Below are 23375 nucleotides of genomic sequence, written 5' to 3'. Positions count from 1 at the left end.
GCTCGTGCTAAAGAGATTTTTCGAATCCTTGGAAGAAATCGACTCCTTCATGTCATCCAGAGGGAAACCCCTGCCTCAACTGAGCTCCATAGATTGGATCCGAGACCTGGCCTTCTTGGTTGACATGACGATGCATCTGAACACTTTGAACATCTCTCTCCAAGGACACTCCCAAATCGTCACGCAGATGTATGACCTGATCCGGGTGTTCCTAGCAAAACTGTGCCTCTGGGAGACTCACTTGACGAGGAATAATCTGGCCCACTTTCCCACCCTGAAATTGGTTTCCAGAAATGAAAGCGATGGCCTGAACTACATTCCCAAAATCGCGGAACTCAAGACCGAATTCCAGAAAAGGCTGTCTGATTTCAAACTCTACGAAAGCGAACTGACTCTGTTCAGCTCCCCGTTCTCCACGAAGATCGACAGTGTGCACGAGGAGCTCCAGATGGAGGTTATCGACCTGCAATGCAACGCGGTCCTGAAGACGAAATACGACAAGGTGGGAATACCAGAATTCTACAAGTACCTCTGGGGTAGCTACCCGAAATACAAGCACCATTGCGCAAAGATTCTTTCCATGTTCGGGAGCACCTACATCTGCGAACAGCTGTTCTCCATTATGAAACTGAGCAAAACAAAATACTGCTCCCAGTTAAAGGATTCCCAGTGGGATTCTGTACTCCACATCGCAACGCGATGGAGAGAAAACTCCTGGCAGGGCCCTATGGTGGGAAAGGCTGGAGTCTTCTAGTCCCAAGGGATTGGGAGATGACAAAATGAATTTTTTTTTCTTTTTTGAGATGGAGTCTTGCTCTGTCGCCCAGGTTGGAGTGCAGTGGCGTGATCTCGGCTTACTGCAACTTCCAGCTCCTGGGTTCGAACGATTCTCCTGCCTCAGCCTCCCGAGCAGCTGGGACTACAGGCGTGCGCCACCATGCCCGGCTAATTTTTGTATTAGTAGAGATGAGGTTTCACCATGTTGGCCAGGCTGGTCTCCAACTCCTGACCTCAGGTGATCCACCTGCCTCGACCTCACAAAGTGCTGGGATTACAGGCATGAACCACTGTGCCCAGCTGACGAAATGAGTTCTTAAACTTTTTTTTTTTCAGTTTTTTTTCCACTTTGAATCAGAAATATAATCTGCAGTATCATACTTGTTTATATTACATTGTATGCCTCACTATTCATTAAAAATCAAGAAAGTTTTATTGTATTATTGGTAGTTGACTTTTCTTATGCCTGGCTTGTTTCATTCATTCACATTACCTGCCTGCCACCCTGATAGGCACTGTAGTTGGCATCTTGAAGTTTAAATCAATCAACAGAGAAATAGGGAGAGAGACGTGTATATTTGCTTTTTGGTTTTGGGGGTTCTTTTTTTGAGACGGAGTCTCACTCTGTTACCCAGGCTGGAGTACAATGGGGCGATCTGGGCTCACTGCAGCCTCTGCCTCCCGGGTTCAAGTGATTCCCCTGCCTCAGCCTCCCGAGTAGCCGGGGTTACAGGTGCCCACCACCACGCCCGGCTCATTTTTGTATTTTTAGTAAAGATAGGGTTTCACCATGTTGGCCAGGCTGGTCACAAACTCCTGACCTCAAGTGATCTGCCGGCCTTGGCCTCCCAAAGTGCTGGAATTACAGGCGTGAGCCACTGCGCCCAGCCTGAGACATGTATATTTGTGGAGGAGTATATATGAACACACATTTATCCCCCGTTCCCGTCCGCGTGGTATCCCACATGGTCTAATACGTTTCCAAGTTTCAGGAGAAATAGTTGAAAACATACTGACATACAATAATCCTATTTTATCTGTCTCTGCCTTCACCTGGAACCAGAAAGGTCAGGTTTAAAATGGAAAAACCCAGAGCCAGAAAGGTCAGGTTTAAAATGGAAAGCCCCAGAGCAAATAACGTAGACTTTGTCTATAAAAGTTAGACAAAGTAAGTTAAGGTTTAGAGGGTTTTTTTTGTTTGTTTTTTACTATGAATAGTTACCGAAAAGTTGTGGCCAAGCATGTGGCTCACACCTGTAATCCCAGCACTTTGGGAGGCCAAGGTGGGTGGATCACTTGAGGTCAGGAGTTCGAGACCAGCCTGGGTAACATGGTGAAACCCTGTCTCTACTAAAAACACAAAAATTTGCCGGGTATGGTGGCACGTGCCTGTAATCCCAGCTACTCAGGAGGCTGAGGCAGGAGAATCACTTGAACCCAGGAGACAGAGGTTGCAGTGAGCCGAGATTGTGCCATTGCACTCCAGCCTGGGTGACAGAGTGAGACTTTGTCTCAAAAAAAAAAAAAAGAAAAGTTGCAAAAATAAAAATAGTATGGAAAATACTCACATGCCCTTTAGCCAGACTCTCAATTGTTAACATTTCACCCTTGTTTCATTATTGGATCACTTTGTCTCCCTACCCCCTTCCCTCCTTCTCCCTCTCACTCATATGTGTGTATGTGTATCTATAATCAGTACCTATGGTAAGTGTGTATAAGCAAATGTCTATGAGTATCTATGATATGTGTATAAATGGATGTGCATTTTTTTCCTGGACCGTTCAAGGGAAAGTTACGTATATCATTTACCCCTAAATACTTCAGTGAGTATTTTCAGAGAACAGGGATATTCTCTTACACAATAACCTTTCCTTTACCAACTTCAGTAAATTGAACGTTGTTGCAATTATTTTATCCAGTTTACTGTTCATACTCTAGTTTTCCCTGTTGACCCAATAATATCTTTCCCTTTTTTATTTTTGGAAACAAGGAAATGGGCTCGCTCTGTCACCCAGGCTGGAGTGCAGTGGTGCGACCTTGGCTTACTGCAACCTCTGCTTCCTGGGTTTAAGTGATCCTCCCACCTCAGCCTTCCAAGTAGCTGGGACTACAGGTGCATGCTACCATGCCCAGCTAATTTTTGTGGAGTTTTTTTTTTTTTTTTTTGTAGAGACAGGGTCTCCCTTTGTTGCCCAGGCTGGTCTCAAACTTCCAGGCTCAAGCGATCTACTCGCCTCAGCTTCCCAAAGTGATATCTTTCCCTTTATAGCATTTTTCTCCTGGCAGGTTGTCATTTGAAGGTGTGTGTGTGTGTAATCTCTATTAGTCACTGGAATTAGTGACACAAAATTGTGAATACTTTCCAGATTGGGGGAATTCACGCGACCAGCGTGGAGGAAGGCTGTGGATCTCCACCTAATGACCCACTCAGGAAGCAATGGAGAAAAGGACTTTGATAAAAATGACAGGGGGTGCAGGAGGGAGAGAGCAACCCCCAGGCCAGGAGCCCAGTTGGAGCCCAGGTGCCTATCCTTAGACACAGGGAAATGACCCCACTCCAGGCAGTTCCTGTCGTTGACTTCAGGTACAGCTGGCTCTGGCAAGCTCAGCGCTCTTTTGGAGAAGGAATCCCAGATAGGCTGGTTTATAACGGGAGTTGGAGGGGAGTCCAGGTCTTGGTGGAAGTGAGCACTCGTTCACACCACATATCAGAGGTGTGGCCGAGCAGCAGGACCAGAGCAGCCCCCTTTCATAGACGGGAAGCTGAAGCTCAGAGTGGCTAAGTGGCTCGCTCCAGGTCACGCAGCCATTATAGGAGTTGTCAGGATTCAAACCAGGGTCCATGTGACTCCAAAGTCCATGTGCTTCACTTTTTGTTTTTGAGATGGAGTGTCGCTCTGTCGCCCAGGCTGGAGTGCAGTGGTGTGATCTTGGCCCAGTGCAACCTCCGCCTCTCGGGTTCTAGTGATTCTCGTGCCTCAGCCTCCCGAGTAGCTGGGACTACAGGCATGCGCCACCACAACCGAATAATTTTTGTATTTTTTAGTAGAGACGGGGTTTCACCATGTTGGCCAGGCTGATCTTGAACCCCTGACCTCAAGTGATCCACCCGCCTTGGCCTCCCAAAGTGCTGGGATCACAGGTGTGAGCCACGACACCTGACCCATGTGCTTCATTCCTAAGCAGCCACTGTGCCTGACATGGAGACCCAGCAGGTATCTGTCATGCAGCCTCTGCCCTCATCATCTGTCATGTGTGTGGCTCCCTGGTGGTCCACCAATCAGATGATAGGGAGGGGACAGTAGGGCTCAGCCTAAGCTGCCTCCTGTTGGCCGGACCATTCATGAAGCTGTTCTGCTTTGAATCAATTCCCAAGGCCCCAGGAATGTGTGTTGGGACCAGGATGGCTTGAGATATGATGGCCACTGACATGCACTGTCACTCATAGGACTGAGTTGAGACTGTGGGAATGACTGAATGGCTGGGAAAGGTTTTTCGTTTGTTTTTTTGAGACGGAGTCTTGCTCGGTTGCCCAGGCTGGAGCGCAGTGGCACGATCTCAGCTCACTGTAACCTCTGCCTCCCGAGTTCAAGCAATTCTCCTACCTCAGCCTCCCGAGCAGCTGGGATTACAGGCGCCCCCCACCACACCCAGCTAATTTTTGTATTTTTAGTAGAGACGGGGTTTCACCATGTTGGCCAGGCTGATCTGGAACTCCTGACCTCAGGTGATCCACCCAACTCAGCCTCACAAAGTGCTGGGATTACAGGCGTGAGCCACCAAGCCTGGCCAGGAGAGGTTTTTAGTAGGGCAATGGGGTGTCTGCAAACGAGAGCCCTTGAGAGTGGTGTGGTCCAGGGAGATGGGCAGGGGCCCAGCCTAGGAGTAGGGGCTAGATTTGGTGGGTCTTTGTCAATTTTCAGGGGCAGGGATTGCACTGCATCTATCCCAAGTCCCCGACTTCTCATCCCAGGATGGACAGAGGAAAGAGCCAATCTCTCCTCCAACACAGGCCCTGGGACTAGGGGTCTGCAGAGGGCCCTGGAAGCCAGACCCCCTCACACTTGGCCTGGCACGTACCTGTGTGCCGTATTCCCTCCTCTGAGCCACAGGCCTGAACCACAGATCCTGAGCTCTGCAGGGTCAGGATAAAGTACTGGATCTGGAAGGCCTTAGAATCAAAAAGAAAAGCCTGGGCCAGCCGCAGTGGCTCATGCCTGTAATCCCACCACTTTGGAAGGCCAAGGCAGGCGGATTACCTGAGGTCAGGAGTTCAAGACCAGCCTGGCCAACATGGTGAAACCTCATCTCTACTAAAAATACAAAAAATTAGCCGGGCAGGGTGGCGGGCACCTGTAATCCCAGCTACTCGGGAGGCTGAGGCAGGAGAATCACTTGAACCCAGGAGGCAGAGGTTGCAGTGAGCTGAGGTCGCTCCATTGTACTCCACCTAGGTGACAAGAGCGAAACTCCATCAAAAAAAAAAAGAAGAAGAAAAGAAAAACCCAGTTCCACCTCCCAGCACTGTTGCTTTCTTGCATTATTTCATAAGCAAACCACTTAATTAATTTTATGAGCTTTGGTTTCCTCATCCATAAAACACCTACCAGACAGTGTTGGTCTCAGAACTGGAGATGATGGAATGAGCCCAGCACTATGACTGGCCTCAAGAAAATTGTTGGCTAAACAGAGGTGCAGCCCTTAGAGCAGGCAACTTCAGTTTTTTTCTCCCTTCCCTGTGGGCGTGGCTTCCCAATCACCCACCCACCGAGAGGCCTCCTCCCCAGCACGCTGCAAGGGCCACTTTAAGGGGATCAGAAATATACAAAAACCACGGGGAAACATTTGGTCAGGACCTCAGCTTGGAAAAAAATGAAACAATCATGAAAATAAGTATTTTGTCTTCTTTTTTATATGTATGTATTTTTTTTAATTTTTATTTATTTATTTATTTATTTTTGAGACAGAGTCATGCTCTGTCGCCCAGGCTGGAGTGTGGTGGCGTGATCTCGGCTCACTGTAACCTCTGCCTCCCGGGTTCAAGTGATTCTTCCGCCTCAGCCTCCTGAGTACCTGGGATTACAGACGTGTACCACCACACCCGGCTAATTTTTTTGTTGTTGTTGTATTTTTAGCAGAGACAAGCTTTCACCATGTTGGCCAAGCTGGTCTCGAACTCCTGGCCTCAAGTCATCCGCCTGCCTCGGCCTCCCAAAGTGCTGGGATTACAGGCGTGAAACACTGTGGCTGGCCTTAATTTGTTTTTTTTTTAAGAGACAGGGTCTTGCTCTGTCACCCAGGCTGAAGTACAGTGGCACGATCACAGCTTACTGCAGCCTCAAACTCCTGGGCTCAAGCGATCCTCCCACCCAACCTGGGACTACAGGTGCACACCACCACACCTGTCTAATTTTTTAAAATGTTTGTCTAGACGGGTCTCACCGTGTGGCTCAGGCTGGTCTTGAACTCCCTGCCCCAAGCAATCCTTCCACCTTGGCCTCCCAGAGCACTCGGATTAGAGGCGTGGTATTTTATACTGTATTTAATAAAAGGGTTATAACTGCAACTGAACAAGCAGAAGGGGTGAGGTTGGTGATTCAATTTCCCACAGCTTTGTATGATAGCCTTTGGTGCTGGGCTTTTCCAGCAAACCAGGGTCGGCAAAAATGCAGAACTAGTTTAGAGCTGCAGTGGTTTTCTTTTTTTTTCTTTTTTTTTTTAGAAGGAGTCTTGCACTGTCACCCAGGCTGGAGTGCAGTGGAACAATCTCGACTCACTGCAGCCTCTGACTCCTGGGTTCAAGCCATTCTCCTGCCTCAGCCTCCCGAGTAGCTGGGATTCTAGGCTTGTGCCACCACGCCTGGCTAATTTTTATATTTTCTGTAGAGATGGGGTTTCACCATGTTGGCCAGGCTGGTCTGGAACTCCTGACCTCAAGTGATTCACCCGCGTCAGCCTCCCAAAGTGCTGGGATTACAGGCCTAAGCCACTGTGCCCAGCCGTCCAGTGGTTTTCTGAAAGCTTCTGCCAGTCCTTCGATGGTCAGCCTATTCTCTTGACAACCATCTGCTCCCCTTACGATTTTCTCTGATATCTCCCCTTATGATTGTCTCTTATCTCTAAGGGACCCGCCTCCCCCGTCCTCACATAGCCACTTCCGCAAATGTGGGACAGCTCTCCCTGCCACTCGTGGCCTTCGTGACAAGTTACATCTTTTGCAAGACTGGCAGCTTCACTTTGCACCTTCGTGTCTGCATTTTGGGGAAAGACCTGCCCTCAAAGCAAAGGCTTTCAGGCTACAGGCTGGCTTCAATGCTAGGGTGAGCGGTGAATAGTGTGCATAGTGAATACTTGCTTTCTGGTACAACCTCATAACCGGGGCACGGTCTCAGTGAATAACAGAGGACACCCTGCACCTAAGTTACTTTTTTTTTTTTTTTTTTTTGAGATGGAGTCTCGCTCTGTAGTCCAGGCTGGAGTGCAGTGGCGCCGTCTCGGCTCACTGCAACATCTGCCTCCCCGGTTCAAGCGATTCTCATGCCTCAGCCTCCCCAGTAGCTGGGATTGTGGATGCATGCCACCACGCCCAGCTAATTTTTATATTTTTGGTACAGATGGGGTTTCACCATGTTGTCCAGGCTGGAGTCCAGTGGCGCCGTCTCGGCTCACTGCAACATCTGCCTCCCCGGTTCAAGCGATTCTCATGCCTCAGCCTCCCCAGTAGCTGGGATTATGGATGCATGCCACCACGCCCAGCTAATTTTTATATTTTTGGTAGAGATGGGGTTTCACCATGTTGGCCAGGCTGGTCTCGAACTCCTGAGCTCAACGGATCCTCCCACCTCGGTCTCCCAAAGCGCTGGGTTACAGGCGTGAGCCACCGCGCCCGAACCTAAGTTATAATATATTTTTTATCCCAGCTATGAGGTCACTCCTACACCCTGGACGGCAGCCTGTCTCCTGCCATGAGACAGGGCTGCCCTGCTGCACTGTGTGCACCCATCTTCAGGACTCTTCCGCCAGAGTCCAAGCAGGTGGTTTCTGACCAAACGGTCAGCAGGAAACCGGGAGTTCCTCTTGAACTTGGCCTTGTGCAAACCTGTTCTTGGCCAAGACCAGGGCAACATGCAACCAGACCTCGGCTCTTGCAACTTCCCCCCAGCAGAACTCACAACCTCCTGTCCTCAACTTAGAAATAACCCTGGGGCGGAGCCCGGCCCTCCCTGCATTCCTGCAGAGCCTCGGTCCACTCCAAGCAACATTTATTGAGGGTGGCGGGAGCCGCGCTGGACAGGGGTCGGGGCTGCCCTCGGCGTCCAGACGCCAGGCTCTATAGAACACGTATATACAGGCACGGGGCGGCAAGGGCCGAGACGCTAGCTGGGGACTGCGCTCCAGCCTCAGACGGCAGACGCCAGCTTCCGCTTGGTGCTCTCGCTGCAGCGGTTCAGGATGAGGTCGGCGCTCGGCCGCGGGGGCACCGCCGGCTGCGGTTTAGAGCGCTGCGTCTGCCGCTCCTCCTCTGCGGGCAGAGAGCGGGGCCGAGTCAGACGCCCCGCCCCGCACACTGGCCCCGCCCACAGCGCTCTCTGGCCTCGCCCCGCCGCGGTCTCCAACTCCTGCTCCGCGCTCTGGCCTCGCCTCCCGCTTGTGCCTCTCCCTCTGACTCCGCCTCTTAGGGATCGCTCCGCCCCCTAGCGCTGGCTCCTCCTCTGCCCCCGCCTCCAGTCCCCGCCTCTCCCTCTGATTCCGCCCTCTGGTCCCGCCCCGCTACTCTGGCCCTACCTCTGGCCCCGCCTCTCCCGCTGACTCCGCCCCTAGGGCTTGCCCTTCCTGCCCTCTCCCGCTGCACTCACCGAGCGGGCTCCCGGGGCTCTGCGGTCCCGGCCGCGCCTGGCGGCGTCGCTGCTGCAGAAAACGGACGCTGTTGCGGCGATAGGCGTCCTGGCTGAGGCGCTTCCGCGACCGCTGGTGGATGCTGTGCACGTTGCGGATGGACGACCTGGCCCAGCGGGACGGGGCGTCGTCAAAGCCCGAGGGCGCCCCTGCCCCCAGGGACTCAGATGGGCACCCCTGGTCCGAGGAAGTGGGGGGCAGTAGGGGGCCGGTAGTCTGCACGACCCCGGCGGGACAAGAGGCGGCTGCCCCCGTCACGACAAGGACCCTTGCCCTGCAGCAGAGCCTGGGCGGTTTTCCACGCCCCTCACCAGCCTTCGGTCTGTCGTCCCCCTCTCCGGGGAGCCCCCCTGGACTGCCCATCCCCAAAGCCCCCGGGCATCGCCGCTTTCCTTCCGCCCCCGTGCCAGCCCCACACCGCGGCCAGGCGCGTCCAGCCCCTTTCCCCCGTGAGGGTCCTGCCTCTCCTGCCAGGCTGAGAGCCCCCGCCCCGGCACTGCCAAGCTATGGCCTAGACAGAGCGAACCCGTGGTGCGCCCCGCTCGACCCCGCCCAGCCCCGGGGACCCCCGCTTACCTGCGGGGCGGCGCCCCCCGCTTGATCTGGCGTTGGGCCTGGGACACGTCTTGCCCTGACTTTTGCAGGTACATGGACGGGAAGTAGCCTGTGACGTCGTCTTTCCTGCAACAGAGGCAGCCCTTGAGGCTGGGGCAGTCACCTGGGGGCGCCCAGAGGAGAGGGTTTCAGGGCTCTCTCTGAACAATTGGGGTTAGCACAGGCTGAGAGGTTGCAAACAACCGGACACCTGCCTCTGTGGGCCTCAGTTTCCTGGTCTGTGCAACTGAGACCCTTCCAGCAATCCTTCCACAGTCTAGGCAGGGGTGGAGGTTAGCAGATCCAGGTCACCGCAGGGGACAGGTATTTGCTATAAGACATTGGCAAGAATGGGCAGGGCACGGTCGCTCACGCCTGTAATCCCAGTACTTTGAGGGATCTAGGTGGGAGGATCGCTTGAGGCCAGGAGTTGGAGATCAGCCTGGGTAACATAGCAAGACCCCTATCTCTACCTCCCGAAAAAATTAAAGAAAAAAGAAGACACTGGCAGATTATATTTGCCAATTTTTCTTTTATGTTAACTGCCTTCTGTCTCCTACGAACCTTTGCCTACCTCCAAGCCACCAAATTCTATGCTTTCTTCCAAATGCTTTTCCCCCACCCAACCCCAAGACAGAGTTTTGCTCTTGTTGCCTAGGCTGGAGTGCAATGGCATGATGTCGACTCATTGCAACCTCTGCTTCCCAAGTTCAAGCAATTCTCCTGCCTCAGCTTCCCAAGTAGCTGGGATTACAGGCATGCACCACCACACTTGGTTAATTTTGTATTTTTTTAGTAGAGACAGGATTTCACCATGTTGGTCATGGCTGGTCTCAAACTCCTGACCTCAAGTGATCCACCTGCCTCAGCCTCCCAAAGTGCTGAGATTACAGGCGTGAGCTCCCTGTCCAGCCCCAAATGGTTTTTAGTTTCAGGTTTTACTCTGGGATAAACCTGTGATCCATCTGAAGTAAACATATGTGTACAGTGTGAGGAAGGGGTCTAGGTTTGTTTTTTGCTCTTTTTTTTTTTTTCCAGTATGGAAATCCATCTGTTCCAGCACCATTTGTTGAAAAGACTTTCTTTCTATTCTCAATATTATATTTGGGAGTGAAAAAAAAAACAAAAGAAAACTTTGCATAATACAAGGTTCACATAAAACCCAATTCTTGGCTGGTGGGAGGATCACAAGAAGATTATCAGAGACACAGGATGGGGGTTAACAGAGTGTGTGTCTAAAAGGCTGAGAAATGCTGCCTCAAAGCCCTCTGGCCCCGGGCCCGGCTGCAGGTATGCATGTTGTGGTCCCAGCTTTAAGATAAGCTTGCGGCAGGGCGCCAGGCTGGCCCTGTGACCTAGGGCTCTGAAGACGCCAGCAAAGGCCCAGCATGGAGGCTCATTCCTGTAATCCCAGTGCTTTGGGTGGCCAAGGCAGGAGGAACTCTTGAGGCCAGGAGTTTAAGACTAGTCTTGGCACCATAGTGAGACCCCACCCCTACAAAAAAATTAAAAAACATTAGCCAGATGTGGTGGTGCTCACCTGTAGTCCCAGCTACGTGGGAGCCTGAGGTGGGAGGATCGCTTGAGTGAGCGATGATTGTGCTCCAGCCTGGGAGTCAGAGCAAGATCCTGTCTCAAAAAATGAAAAAATTCGTAAAAAATGAAGACACAGGAAAGGACCTGGGAGGCCCCATGGCTCCAGGGAAATGGCTCCACAAGCCGCTAGAATTCTGTGTTCCCCAGAACCAGAAAAAAGATAATTAGTATTTCTGCATTCATTTGGAGGATAAACAGATGGGAATTGCAATGGAAGCTTTTTTTTTTTTTTTTTTTTTTTTGAGACAGGGTCTTGCTCCATCACCCAGGCTGGGGTGCAGTGGTGCAGTCATAGCTCACTGCAGCCTCCAACTCCTGGGGTCAAGTGATCCTTTCACCTCAGCCTCCTGAGTAGCTGGGGCTACAGGTGTGTGCTACCACATCCAGCTATTTTTTAATTTTTTTTGTAGAGACAGAGGTCTCCCTACATTGCCCAGGTTGGTCTTGAACTTGTAGCCTTGAGTGATCCTCCCACCTCAGCTTCCCAAAGTGTTGGGATTACAGGCATGAGACACTGCACCTGACTGCAAGAAAGCTTTAAAAGATAAAGGAATGATAAAAAGAAAGTAATCTTTTTTTTTTTTTTTTTTTTGAGACGGAGTTTCGCTCTCGTTGCCCAGGCTGGAGTGCAATGGCGCGATCTTGGCTCACTGTAACCTCCGCCTCCCGGGTTGAAGCGATTCTCTTGTCTCAGACTCCCGAGTAGCTGGGATTACAGGCTCCCACCACAACACCCGGCTCATGTTTGTGTTTTTAGTAGAGATAGGGTTTTGCCATGTTGGCCAGGGTGGTCTCGAACTCCTGACCTCACGTGATCGTCCTGCCCTGGGCTCCCAAAGTGCTGGGATTACAGGCCTGGGCCATTGCGCCTAGCTAGGAATGTAATTATTTATACAACAGTTCACCATGTTGCCAGAGAAGGAATAATAATAGATGGTTGGGAAGAGACCCTAAATCACAAAGGAGAAATGCACCCACTTGGACAAGGACATTGGATCCCCACAAGACAGGCAAGGGTGGGCTCATCCCTCCCTGCTACTGAGATGGAAACTAAGCCCAGAGAGGGGCAGTGGCTTACCCAGAGTCCCAGGGACAAGTCACCCCAGATCCCTAAACACCCCGTCCTGGCTGGGGCTGACTCAGATGGGTGCTCTGGATGGAGAGGGGCCCTCCTACCTGATGACCCACCAGCCGTCCAGGAGCTTGTGAATTACCTCAACAGCTTCACCCTCGAGCAGGGACACCTCGTCCCCCTCCACAGCAGTGTAGGCCTTGATGGCGACGTATGGCTCACCTGGTCCACGGCAGGGGCACAGAGCACAGTGTGAGGTCGGCCCAGCCTGGGGCTCGCCACCCATCCCATCTTCTCCTCTCTGCGCCTGGGCTTCCTCCAGGCACTCCAGACCCACCCAGGGCCCACAGTTCCCCCTCTTCTGGGTCTCCTCCCTCCACCCTCCTGCTCCATCCCAGATCCCTCGGCAAGCTCCTGCTGGCACCCACTCTGGGGGTACACTCTGGACTTCGGCCCTCTGCCCCCTACACCCAGGTGAGCTTGTCCACTCCCATTCATTGCCACCCACTCTGGGGACCAGAGATCCCATAACGATGAAGGTCTGTCCAGACACTTCACTATGACAAGAGATCAGCCATGAGTAGGTGGGTGGAGCATCCGTCTACCTGGCACTGGGAACTGCTCAGCTGCAGCTAACTGTCGGCCTGGGGGCTGCAGGCCTTCCCAGTGTTTAAACGATAGCCACAGGCTGGGCGAGGTGGTTCCCACCTGTAATCCTAGCACTTTGGGAGGCCAAGGCGGGCGGATCACCTGAGGTCAGGAGTTCGAGACCAGCCTGGCCAACATGGCGAAACCCCATCTCTACTAAAAATACAAAAAATTAGCCTGGCGTGGTGGTGCATGCCTGTAATCCCAGCTACTCAGGTGGCTGAGGCAGGAGAATTGCTTGAACCCAGGAGGCTAAGGTTGCAGTGAGCTGAGATTGCATTACTGCACTCCAGCCTGGGTGACAGAGCCAGACTTTGTCTCAAAAAAAAAAAAAAAAAGCTGTAAATCCACATAAAAGGGTGAAATCACTCCATTTTAAAATGTGGGTAACCAGGCCAGGGACAGTGGCTCACATCTGTAATTCCAGCACTTTGGGAGGCCAAGGCAGGCAGATCACCTGAGGTCAGAAGTTCGAGACCAGTCTGGCCAACCTGGTGAAACCCCGTCTCAACTAAAAATACAAAAATTATCCAGGCATGGTGGTGCATGCTTGTAATCCCAGCTACCTGGGGAGGCTGAGGCTGGAGAATCACTTGATCCTGGGAGGCAGAGGTTGCAGTGAGCTGAGATAGCACCACCGCACTCCAGCCTTAGCAAGGGAGTGAGACTCTATCTCAAAAAAGTAAAATAAATAAATAAATAATAAAATAAAATGGTAACCAATTCTATTATAGTTTTTTTCAAGCTCAATGCAGGCCCCATCCAGCCCTGGCACTGCCAGTTTTCCCTTTCTGGTCAGTGATGATGCCCCCACTTCCAGGCAGCCCTCCTTCCTGAGCCTAAGGTCTGCTCATCCTTCAGCTTCCCACTGAACCTGGCCACATATCCACAGACACCACTGGCCTCCCACTCTCCCGAGTCGTCTGCTCCTCCTCCTGGTTCCCTGTCCAGACCAAGGGCATCACAACCTGCCAGGGCCCCCAAGCCAGAGACGATGAGATCTTAGCCCTGACTTTTCTGCCAAGCCAGCAACCAGCCCAGACTCCAAAGCAGTCACTCAATATCCCTGAGCCCTGCCTGCCCCTTTCTCCCACACCCCTACAGCCTCGGAGGGCAGGGGGCACCTGCATAGTTGGGCTCAGGGTCTTCCGTCTCGTCAGGACTGTCCAGGGGCTCGAGGAAGGATGCTGGGATCCAGCCTCGCTTTGCTTTCATCTGACAGAACCACCAACCTGTGCCAGAGGTGCGGGAATGTGACTGAGGGGCAGGGCCCAGCGGCTCCCTGCAGCCATCAGGGATGGTGAGGACACAGGGACACAGACACACTGATGTCCAATGCTCAGATTTGGAAATGTCACCTTCACCACACTGGACAATGAGGTCACATGCATGCATGCACACATGCTCACAGAATCACAGCTCTGAGCCCACTTCATAATGAACAGACGGTCCCATACCCATCCAGACAGAACACGCAGACATGCCCCGCCCCGGCCTGCCATGCACAGATGCCCACAGCCACCACAGGGTGCACACTAAGAGAGAAGGCGACCCACAGTGTGGGGAGGACATTTAGGGCCCCTAACAGAGCCGGAGTCCTCCCAGGGGCCAGGCTGCCTGAGCCTTGGCAGGGGGCTTGTGGCTGTGGGTTCCTGAGCACCAGGGGAAGGAGCCCCGTAAGGTGGGAGGTCTGACCGCTCTCGCTCTTCTCCACGACCTCCACCACGTCCCCCGTGGACAGAGCCATCTCGGAGCCCGAGGTCTTCTCGTAGTTGGCAATGGCGCGGTACGTCTGCAGGATGATGGGGCCGGTGATGTCTGGGGCAAGAGGGAGGGCAGGGTGAGTGGGCATTGCAGGGCCCATCTGGGCCTCCAGAACAGGCGCTGGCATCTTGAGTCTCTGCTGCCCTGCATTTCCTGGGCGCATAGCGTTCTCCAGGCTTCGGCCTCACACTTCAAACATGTCTTTGTTCTCATCTGATGAAGTTAGTGAGCCTTTCCCAACTTTATTTTCTTTTTTGGAGACAGAGTCTTGCTCTGTTGCCCAGGCTAGAGTACAGTGACGTGATCACAGCTCACTACAGCCCTAGACTCCTAGGCTCAAGCAATCTCCCTGCCTCAGCCTCCCGAATAGCTGGGACCACAGACGTATGCCACCACACCCGGCTAATTTTTTGTAAAGACAAGGTCTTGGGACAATGCCCAGGCTGGTCTCGAACTCCTGGGCTCAAAGGATTCTCCCACCTCAGCCTCTTAAAGTGTTGGGATTACAGGCGTGGAGCCACTGCACCTGGCCTTTTCCCAACTTTTTTTTTTTTTTTTTTTTGAGATGGAGTCTCGCTCTGTCACTGGAGTGCAGTGGTGCAATCTTGGCTCATTGCAACCTCCACCTCCCAGGTTCAAGTAATTCACCTGCCTCAGCCTCCCAAGTAGCTGGGACTACAAGCACCTGCCACCACACCTGGCTAATTTTTGTATTTTTAGTAGAGATGGAGTTTCACGATATTGGTCAGGCTGGTCTCGAACTCCTGACCTCAGGTGATTCAACCGCCTCGGCCTCCCAAAGTGCTGGGATTACAGGCATGAGCCACAGTGCCTGACCTTTTCCTAACTTTAAGGTGCACCCGAATACCTGGGATTTTGCTAAAATGCCTATCCTGTTCAGTAGGTCCACTGTGGGACCTGAGTGTGCATTTCTGACCAGCCCTTCATCCAACCGTGGAGGTGCTGATGCTGTTTGGTATTGGCTGACATCTGCCTTCTCAAAATTCATATGTTGAAGTCCTAACCACCCAGTACCTTACAGCGTGGGTATATTAAGAGAAAGGTACTCTTAAGTACGTTTCAAGAGGTAATTAAGTTAAAATGAGGTCAGTAGAGTGGGCCCTAACCCAACAGGCCTCATGTCCTTATAAGAAGAAGAAAAAGCCGGGCACAGTGGCTCATGTCTATAATCTCAGCACTTTGGGAGGCTGAGGCAGGAGGGTTGCTTGAGGCCAAGAGCTTAAGACCAGCCTGGGCAATGTAGTGAGACCCCATCTCTATCAGAAAATTAAAAATTAGCTGGACATGGTGGCACACACCTGTAATCCCAGCTACTTGGGAGGCTGAGGTGGGAGGATCGCTTCAGCCCAGGAGGTCGAGGCTGTAGTGAGCTATGATCACACCACTTCACTCTGGCCTGGGCAACAGAGCGAGACCCTGTCACTGAAAACAACAAAAACAAAATAGTGGCTGGCACAGAGTAAGCACTCCATTAATGTTAGGTATTATTATTATTATTGTTATTAGCAGTGACTGTGCAATAAGTATTAGAAACTGCCACAGCCCTGCATCGCCTCTGAAGGCCACGCTGCCCTCCAAAACCTGTTCATTCATTCAGCCGCAAACACTCCCCCGGCTGCCAGTAGCAAGGGTCTGCGCTGGTCTCTGCACTGCCACCTGCAAAGGGCTCCTTTCAGTCTCCAGGGACCTTCCAAAGACCCAATTCTTCTTTTTTTTTTTTTTTTTTGAGATGGAGTCTGGCTCTGCTGCCCAGGCTGGAGTGCAGTGGCACGATCTCGGCTCACTGCAAACTCCGTCTTCCGGGTTCAAGCAATTCTCCTGCCTCAGCCTCCCAAGTGGCTGGGACTACAGGCACCTGTCACCACGCCTGGCTAATTTGGATTTTTAGTAGAGACAGGGTTTCTCCATGTTGGCCAGGCTGGTCTCAAACTCCTGACCTCAAGTGATCCACCTGCCTCGGCCTCCCAAACTGCTGGGATTACAGGCATGAGCAACCGCACCCGGCCCAAAGACCCAATTCTTCAGCAGGGTAGCTGTGAGCCCTCCCAGCCTGCTCCCAGCCCCTGCTCCATTCCCTGAACACTCTGGGTCTCCTCAGGGTGTCCCCCCCCGCCGGCTGCCCCCCGTCCTCTCACCTGTCGCGGTACTCTTGCCATCTTTGGGCATCAAGTATGTCTCTGGCTTTTTTGTCCTGAGGAGAGAACAGTCTGGGTGAGACCCTTGGCTTCCCATGGAGGAAGAAGAGGCACTGGGTAGACCTGCAGAAGAACTTCCCAAGAGAAGAGGGACCCGGGAAAGGGAAGGGGCACTGCGGAGAGAAGACAGCAACTGGACTGGCTGAGGAAGGGCTTCAGGAAGTGATGGGGGCGGGCGGATCTGCTCGGGCAGCCCAAGGGAGGGACATGAGGAGGACACTGCATAGCCTTCTGCAGACCCAAAGGATGCCCTAAGCCTGGAAAATGCTCTTGCGGGCTCCCAGGCCATCTTCTTTCTTCTTTTCTTTTTTTTTTCTTAGACAGAGTCTCGCTCTGTCACCCAGGCTGGAGTGCAGTGGCGCAGTCTCAGCTCACTGCAACCTCTGCCTCCCGGGTTCAAGCGATTCTCCTGCCTCGGCCTCCCAAGTAGCTGGGATTACAAGCGCACACCACCATGCCTGACTAAATTTTTATATTTTTGGTAGAGATGGGGTTTCACCATGTTGGCCAGGCTGGTCTCAAACTCCCAACTTCAGGTGATCTGCCCACCTCGACCTTCCAAAGTGCTGGGATTATAGGTGTGAGCCACTGTGCCCGGCCTCTTCCTCCTTCTGGAGCCCTGAGAGAGCAGGCAATGAGGAGCGGACCCCACTGCAGAGTCCATCCTTCCCCCGCCTCCCGGGCTGATGATAACTGCCCTTCCTTGGGCCAGGGGACACCTTCAAGCGTCAATAAGTGCTGGCCGGAGCAATGCTGCTTGTCTCTGTCTTGGCAGCCTGGGTGCCTTGACAAGGGGTAACGTCCTGTCCTCATGCTCCCCACTTCGAGCTTCAGTGACCAGAGAGGAGTGGAGAAGGGGACTTCCCCAGCCTGCCTGGAGCTCCCTCAGCCTCTCAGGTGCCTTCCACACAGGGTCCTGGGTACAGGAGACCCCAGACATGCTCAGCACTTAGCAGAGGCATCAACCCCACATCCTTCTGGGGGGCTCCGCAAGACACCCAATGCTTCATCTGATCCTCACTGCCCATTATAGAAATGGAGAACCTGCATTCAGAGAGCAGTGGTGACTGGCTCCAGGTCCCATAGCCAGGTGGCCATAATGTCAGGATGAGGACCCAGGACTTTGAACCTCCAGCCCCGAGTGCTTCCCCCAGTGCCCTGAGGTGTGAAAGATTAAGGTGGAGGCTTGGCGGGGTCACAGGGGCCGGAGGTGGAATTTGCCTCCTCTTTCTGGCTGTGTGGCTCTGGGAAGGTGGCTTTCCCTCTCTGAGCCTTGGTTTCCTCATCTGCAAAACACAGAAAGTCCCACCCCTCCTTCCCTCTCCCACCTGGCAGGGTGAAAAGTTCACTCACTGGTTGTCCGTGGGGAGCTTGAGGTCATCAGGGCGCACCTTGAAGAAGTCAAGGAGGTGGGGACAGCGGGAGATCTTGGTGGGCAGGCTCATGAGCGTGCCGCAGTACTCGGTAAGTGTGCCCTGGTGGTTCTCGGCGGCCCGCTGCCCGTCAAACCACTTGGGAGCTGGCACCAGAGAACATGAGGTCAAGCCCGAGAGGTGCTGGGAGGGCAGGTGAGCCCCCGCCAATGACCCCCTGACAGGCGGCTCAGCCCCGTGCTCACCTGGGAGGTGGGGGATGATCCTGTTCTCTGGATTGATCGCCCCTGCCTCAATAGGGAACATTTCTTTTAAGGTTTTCTAAACATTAAAAAGACAAGAAGACGTGAAGGAATATTTGTAGTTTACAACACTTGGAAAAGCACGAGATTGGAAGTGACCTAAATACCTCTCAAAACCACCTAAAAGGCCGAGCATGGTGGCTCACGCCTGTAATCCCAGCACTTTGGGAGGCTGTCGTGGGTGGATCACTTGAGGTCAGGAGTTCAAGACCAGCCTGGCCAACGTGGTGAAACCCCGTCTCTACTAAAAATACAAAAATTAGCCGGGAGTGGTGGCACATGCCTGTAATCCCAGCTACTCAGGAGGCTGAGGTGGGAGAATCGTTTAAACCTGGGAGGCGGAGGTTACAGTGAGCCGAGATGGCGCCACTGCACTCCATCCTGGGTGACAGAGTGAGACACTACCTAAATATCTCGGGCCTAGAAATTTCGGTGGCAATCTGGATTCCTTGATTAACAGAGGCACTGACCTCTCTCCCTCCCATGTGCAAGTCACCAGCAAATCCTTTTGCTTCCAATCCCCAAATCTCTTTGGGATCTGACTGCTTCCCACCAACCCCACCCTCCTGGCCCTAGCCACTACCAGGCCTGGATAACGAAAATGGCCTCCTTGTGTCCCCCGTCCACTCTTGTCTGTCCTCAATCCAGTCGCCAAAGGGATCCTCTTAAAACTCAGGTTGACCAGGTGCAGGGGCTCAAACCTGTAATCCTAGCAATTTGGGAAGCTGAGGCGGGAGGATCACTTGAGTCCAGGAGTTAGAGACCAGCCTGGGCAACATAGCGAAATCCCATCTCTACAAAAAACAAATCAGGAAAAGGAGCCAGGTGTGGTGGTGCACACCTGTGATCTCAACATGGGAGGCTGAGATGGGAGAATCGCTTCAGCCCTGGAGGTTGAGGCTGCAGTGAGCCGTGATTGCACCACTGCACCCCAGCCTGGGTGACAGAGCAAGACCCCATCTCAAAAGAAAAGCAAATATAAAAAAACTGATAACTCATTCTTAAAAAGGTACAAATGTAAAATTTAGGAAAATAACTAACATAGGGACGAGAACCACAAGGAGAATGTTCACCAGCAGGTGCATTTATTTGGGATCTAGAACTTGGCTTTGTTTTTCAAAAGCGACAAGAATGGTTCCATTCTAGGAAGGTTCTGGGAGATCCTGTCTGTTTTACTTTAAAATGAGAATCTGGTGTTTCTGTGTTTTATTGTTTTCAGTAAGACTACTTAAATGTTTCAGGGGGAAAAATGTTTTTTTCTTTTAATGCCCCCTTAGCTTTGGGAGGCCAAGGCAGGAGGATCACTTGAGGTCTGGAGTTCAAGACCAGCCTGGGCAACATAGTGAGATCCCCATCTTTATAAAAAATACAAAAATTAGCCACACATGGTGATGCGCACCTATAGTCCCAGCTACTCAGGAGGCTGAGGCAGGAGGATCGCTTGAGCCCCAGAGGTTGAGGCTGCAGTGAGCTATGATTGCGCCCCTGCACTGCAAACCTAAATACCTCTCAAAACCACCTAAAAGGCCGACCGTGGGGGCTCATGCCTGTAATCAGAGAACATGAGGTGTTCAGAGTGGTGACAGAGCAAGACCCTGGGTGACAGAGCAAGACCCTGTCACAAAAATTTATATAAATAAATAAATCCCCTTTAACTGTGGTCTGGGAGGGGATTCTGGGTTCTGCAGTTTCCCCATCACCTGGGCTAAGGTCCTTCCCAAAGGGTGGAGCTGGAACGGTGGGTCCCTGTCCCTCCTCCGTCCCCACACTCACATGGAACTCGTAGATCTCGGTGAAGCGCCGGTAGACCACCTTCTCCGACAGGTCCTGCCATTTCACCAGGAACATGTACCTGGGGGAAAGCCAGAGTCGGGGGACCCCATTCAGCCTCCAAAGAGGCTTTGCTGTGTGCACCCAGGATCCCACTACCCACTGGAGGAAGCCCAGAGGATTGGGGTGAGGACCATCTTTGCAGTTGTCCTGGATTGCAGAAAGGGCACAAACGTGGACCCAAGTGCTGCCACGCCCCAGCCTTGAGACCCAGGGCAAGAGGGTCAGCTTCTCTCAAATGGACTCATCTGTAAATTGGAGATAAAAGTAGGACCTAGGCTGGGCACGGTGGCTCACACCTGGAATCCCAGCACTTTTTAGTACCGAGGTGGGAAGATCGCTTGAGTCCAAGAGTTTGAGACCAGCCTGGGCAACATAGCGAGACCCCCATATCTACTAAAAACACAAAAATTGTCCGGGTGTGGTGCCGCACACCTGTGGCCCCAGGTGAGGCAGGAGAATTGCTTGAGACTTGGAGGTCAAGGCTTTAGTGAGCTATGATTGCACCACTGCACTCCAGCTTGGGTGGGGAGGGGAGGGGAAGGGAGGGGACAGGAGGAGAGGGGAGGGGACGGGAGGGGCAGGAAGGCTGGGCATGTTGGCTCCCGTCTGTAATCCCAGCACTTTGGGAGGCCAAGGCAGGTGGATCACCTGAGGTCAGGCGTTCAAGACCAGCCTGACCAATATGGTGAAACCCTGTCTCTACTAAAAACACAAAAATTACCCGGTAGTGGTGATGGGCACCTGTGATCCCAGCTACTTGGGAGGCTGGGACAGGAGAATTGCTTGAACCCGGGAGGCGGAGGCTGCAGTGAGCTGAGGTTGTGCCACTGCACTCCAGCCTGGGTGACAGAGCGAGACTCCCTCTCAAAAAAATTAAAAAGAAGACAGAATTGCATCTAAGATCCACTGCCCTGGATACACAAACTGAATCTAATGAAGATAAACCCAAACTAAGGGACATTCTACAAGGTAACTGGTCTGCTCTCTGCAAAACATCAAAGTTGCAAAAGACAAAGACTGATTAAGACCGATCCAGAATCCGCTGGCACGGTGGCTCACGCCTGTAATCCCAGCACTTTGGGAGGTCGAGGCGGGCAGATCACCTGACGTCAGGAGTTCGAGATCAGCCTGGCTAACATGGTGAAACCCTGTCTCTACTAAAAATACAAAAAGTAGCCGGGCATGGTGGCGCATGCCTGTAATCCCAGCTACTCGGGAGGCTGAGGCACGAGAATTGCTTGAACCTGGGAGGCGGAGGATGCAGTGAGTGGAGATTGTGCCATTGCACTCCAGTCTGGGTGACAGAGTAAGACTCCATCTCATAAAAAAAAAAAAAAAAGACTGATCCAGAATCAATGGCAAAACCCTGTCTCTACCAAAAACGAGCTGGGCGTGGTGGCGCGCACCTGTATTCCCAGCTACTCAGGAGGCTGAGGCAGGAGAATCTCTTGAACCCAGGAGGCAGAGGTTGCAATGAGCCGAGATTGCACCACTGCACTCCAGTCTGGTGACAGAGTGAGATTCCGTGTCCAAAAAAAGAAAAAGAAAAAGAAAAAAGACTGATCCAGATTAAAGAAGGTTAAAGGCTATGACATTGATCCTTGACTGGATCCTAGACCTGAAAAAAGTTTTCACTGCAGAGGACAAGCAGGATAATCGGGGAAACCTCAGTAAAGTCTGTGGGTGGATAATGGTGTTTTGTCCATGTTAATTTCCTGATTTTGACACGTGTGTTGTGATTATGTAAGAGAATGCCTTGATTTTAAGAAATGCCCAACAACTAGTATTTAGAGGTAAAGAAACACGTCTTCAACTCACTCTCAAATAATTCAGAAAATATCCCCAGAAAGAGAGGTGTGGATGAAGGTGAGTGAAAGACTATTGGAGTGACTGGTACCGTTTTGACACCCAGTAGCCTTTCTGTAAATTTGAAATTTCAAAACTGAAAGTTACAAAGAAAAGGAGAAAAGTGACTAGGCACGGTAGCTCACGCTTGTAATCCTAGCACTGTGGGAGGCTGAGACCAGAGGGTTGCTTAAGCCGAGGAGTTCAAGATTAGCCTGGACAACATAGTGAAACCTCATCTCCACAAAAATTTTAAAAACTAGCCAGGCATGGTGGTGTGCGCCTGTAGCCCCAGCTACTCAAGGGGCTGAGGCAGGAGGATCACTTGGGCCTGGGAGGTCGAGGCTGCAGTGAACTATGATCGCACCACTGCACTCCAGACCTCATTTCAAAAAAACAGGCCAGGCACGGTGGCTCATGCCTGTAATCCCAGCACTTTGGGAGGCCCAGGTGGGTGGATCACTTGAGGTCAGGAGTTTGAGACCAGTCTGGCCAACATGGTGAAACCCTGTCTCTACTAAAAATACAAAAATTAGCCAGGCGTGGTGGTGGGCACCTGTAATCCCAACTACTCTGGAGGCTGAGGCAGGAGAACCAGTTGAACCTGGAAGGCGGAGGTTGCAGTGAGCTGAGATCGTGCCACTGCACTCTGGCCTGGGCAACAGATCAAGACTCTGTCTCAAAAAACAAAAAAATAACAAAAAAGAGAAAGGTCTTGGCACATAGGACTAAATGTTCCATACAAGCTTCAATTTCCTAAATGTAGTTCCTCCCTGGCCTTCCTATGGGATTAGGGGACCCAGTGGACTTGTGTGTCTGAGCAGGCATTTGTCCAGCCTCCTTGGGGACAGATGGGAGGACTCTATTGGCCCCTGTCATGGTGTCACCCTACTGGAGAGGATAAGACTCTAACTGACACTACAGGCAGCTGGGGAGAGAGAGAGCTTTAGTTTCCAGGCCTCCCTCTTGGGAGGGCCACTCTCTGATAGCTGGGCTAGTCAGGGAAGGCTTCCTGGAGGAGTGGGCCTCGGACCTGAGAGAGCGCTGGGCTGCCTGGCCATGGCAGGGGAGCAGAAAGAGGACTCCTGGCTAAGGCTGAGGGCCTGGCTGGGGACACAGGCGGGGACAGTAAAGGGCTGGGGCCCAGGGCGGGTCCAAGGGAACTGTCTTCCCAGGGATCAGAGGGGTAGATCCAGGCTCAAAGACCAGGGACCAGGTGCCCAAGACCCTGCCCCGTTAGTCCTCACTGGAGCTGGTTGGCCCTGGGACTGCAAGGGTGGCCGTGCTGTCCCTCCCGTATTCCCCCCACGGGATGCCCTCCACCAGCTACTCACATAGTGCTGGCTGGGTACGAAGCGCTTCTCAAAGCCCAGCAGGGCGATGTGACGGATGAAGGTGTCCCCCATGACTGGGTGGCCTCCAGTGCTCCCTGGCACTTCCAGGCTGCGCCTTAAATGCA

General features: G+C 52.5%; 2 pseudogenes across 1 annotated transcript, besides 5 other annotated features; one reads left to right on the top strand and one right to left on the bottom strand.

The window, feature by feature from the left end:
- Positions 1-696: part of a non allelic homologous recombination region, noted in NCBI's record as "sub-region SSN7-SSN9, recombines with sub-region SSN7'-SSN9' within the WBS medial block B recombination region", that runs on past the window's edge. NCBI's record gives the evidence for it as "EXISTENCE:restriction fragment detection evidence [ECO:0001124][PMID:12796854]".
- GTF2IRD2P1 (GTF2I repeat domain containing 2 pseudogene 1) overlaps positions 1-1217 on the top strand; it is a 37369-nt pseudogene extending 36152 nt beyond the window's left edge.
- Positions 1-23375: part of a biological region, named in NCBI's record as "Williams-Beuren syndrome centromeric block B recombination region", that runs on past both edges of the window. NCBI's record gives its function as "recombination_partner: LOC106029312".
- Positions 697-5181: a non allelic homologous recombination region, noted in NCBI's record as "sub-region SSN6-SSN7, recombines with sub-region SSN6'-SSN7' within the WBS medial block B recombination region". NCBI's record gives the evidence for it as "EXISTENCE:restriction fragment detection evidence [ECO:0001124][PMID:12796854]".
- Positions 5181-23375: part of a non allelic homologous recombination region, noted in NCBI's record as "sub-region SSN3-SSN6, recombines with sub-region SSN3'-SSN6' within the WBS medial block B recombination region", that runs on past the window's edge. NCBI's record gives the evidence for it as "EXISTENCE:restriction fragment detection evidence [ECO:0001124][PMID:12796854]".
- NCF1B (neutrophil cytosolic factor 1B (pseudogene)) lies at positions 8023-23329 on the bottom strand (annotated as a pseudogene). The gene is made up of 8 exons (NR_003186.1): positions 23251-23329; positions 20012-20090; positions 16504-16559; positions 13708-14401; positions 12078-12157; positions 9250-9354; positions 8634-8779; positions 8023-8299 (listed from the first exon to the last, which is right to left on the bottom strand). The product of NR_003186.1 is annotated as a neutrophil cytosolic factor 1B (pseudogene) (transcript).
- Positions 8497-8546: a silencer, noted in NCBI's record as "silent region_18245". NCBI's record gives its function as "represses an Ori minimal core promoter by ATAC-STARR-seq in GM12878 lymphoblastoid cells {active_cell/tissue: GM12878}" and the evidence as "EXISTENCE:reporter gene assay evidence [ECO:0000049][PMID:35858748]".

This window comes from Homo sapiens, chromosome 7 (genome assembly GCF_000001405.40).
Source record: "Homo sapiens chromosome 7, GRCh38.p14 Primary Assembly".
Taxonomy (NCBI): domain Eukaryota; kingdom Metazoa; phylum Chordata; class Mammalia; order Primates; family Hominidae; genus Homo; species Homo sapiens.
Note: the sequence above shows the minus strand (reverse complement) of the source record. Positions and strands in the feature narration are given on the sequence as shown.